This window comes from Homo sapiens, chromosome 12 (genome assembly GCF_000001405.40).
Source record: "Homo sapiens chromosome 12, GRCh38.p14 Primary Assembly".
NCBI classification, from domain to species: Eukaryota; Metazoa; Chordata; class Mammalia; order Primates; family Hominidae; genus Homo; species Homo sapiens.
The window spans coordinates 115,198,698-115,199,825 of NC_000012.12; the positions used below are offsets into that span (position 1 = coordinate 115,198,698).

Genomic DNA, 1,128 nt, shown 5'->3' on the forward strand with positions numbered 1-1,128 from the left:
ACAACTAGGATACAGAAGGTACCCAGTATGACTGCAAACAGTCATCTCTTGGTCCGGAAACATGACACTTATTTTTAAAGTGGTAGGCACAAGAGTTTATTGTTGTGCTCTTTCGTTCTACCTCAAAAGTTCTCTCCCTGAAAGTTGGCAATGAAGGATGGGTTGCTTCAGGCCAGGTAAATGTCCGGGTTACATGCAGATTGTGAAGCAGGGGGGATAACCATCACTCAGTAAAGTGTTGTGTTAGAGCCGTTCTTTCCACCTTCCTGAGAATTAGCTTTTTTTTTTTTTTTTTTTTTCCTCCCTGCCTTTCCAGCTTGTCAGAAATCTAAAACCAGGTTTGAGAACTGGCAGAAGGGAGAGAAAGTGAGAACATGACCTTTCTGGGGGCAAGGGAGGGAACTTGGAGGGTGTGATGGGGTCTTAAACGGGGAAGTAAGAAGACCTTCAAAGCAAACTTTTCTACATCAGTATGTTGGCAGGGTCTGCATTTTAGTTGTATTTGCATTTTCTTTTCCTCTGCCATTAATTATATTCCATGTAAGAGCCAGGAGCCCTGGATTCCAGGGCTGGAATTGCTGCTGATTTTCTTTCTGGCCTTGTCTGTCTGCTTTTCCCCTCCACCCATGCAGGGCCTTTTCTGGTTTTTCACACGTTATATTTCCTTCCGCTTCCAGATCTTTGCGTAGGCCTTGAATACCTTTTCCTTCAGCCCATCACCTGGCTTCCTCTCCTTCACATTCTTATTCATGCAATTTCTCCCCAGGAAATCCTTCCATAAGGGTCGCCACCTGCACCCTAGAGAGAGCGCCCTGGCCCCTACAACTTCAGCTTTACTGCTGCCCTCTGTGCGTGGATATGAATTTAGTTCATCATGTGTAATAGTTGTGTTAATGTCTGCCTGTTCTACCAGCCTGGAAGCTCCAAGTCAGGGCCTGGAGCTCAGTGGGTACCCAAGAAATACTTGTTAATAGAACAACTGACTCTATGGCCTATTATTTTGCTCTTAACCTCCTTGAGCTGCAGGGGTCCCAAATGTAAAATGAGTGCAAGTTGATTTCAAAGGGTCTCTGACATTCTATTATGATTCTGTGATACCATCTGGGGCCTAGTTAGGAGGACATAGTA

At 44.9% G+C, this 1,128-nt stretch overlaps 1 annotated feature.

Moving 5' to 3' along the window:
* Positions 382-883: an enhancer, noted in NCBI's record as "NANOG hESC enhancer chr12:115636884-115637385 (GRCh37/hg19 assembly coordinates)". NCBI's record gives its function as "activates a minimal SCP1, AML or CMV promoter by ChIP-STARR-seq in primed H9 embryonic stem cells {active_cell/tissue: H9 hESC(primed)}" and the evidence as "EXISTENCE:reporter gene assay evidence [ECO:0000049][PMID:30033119]".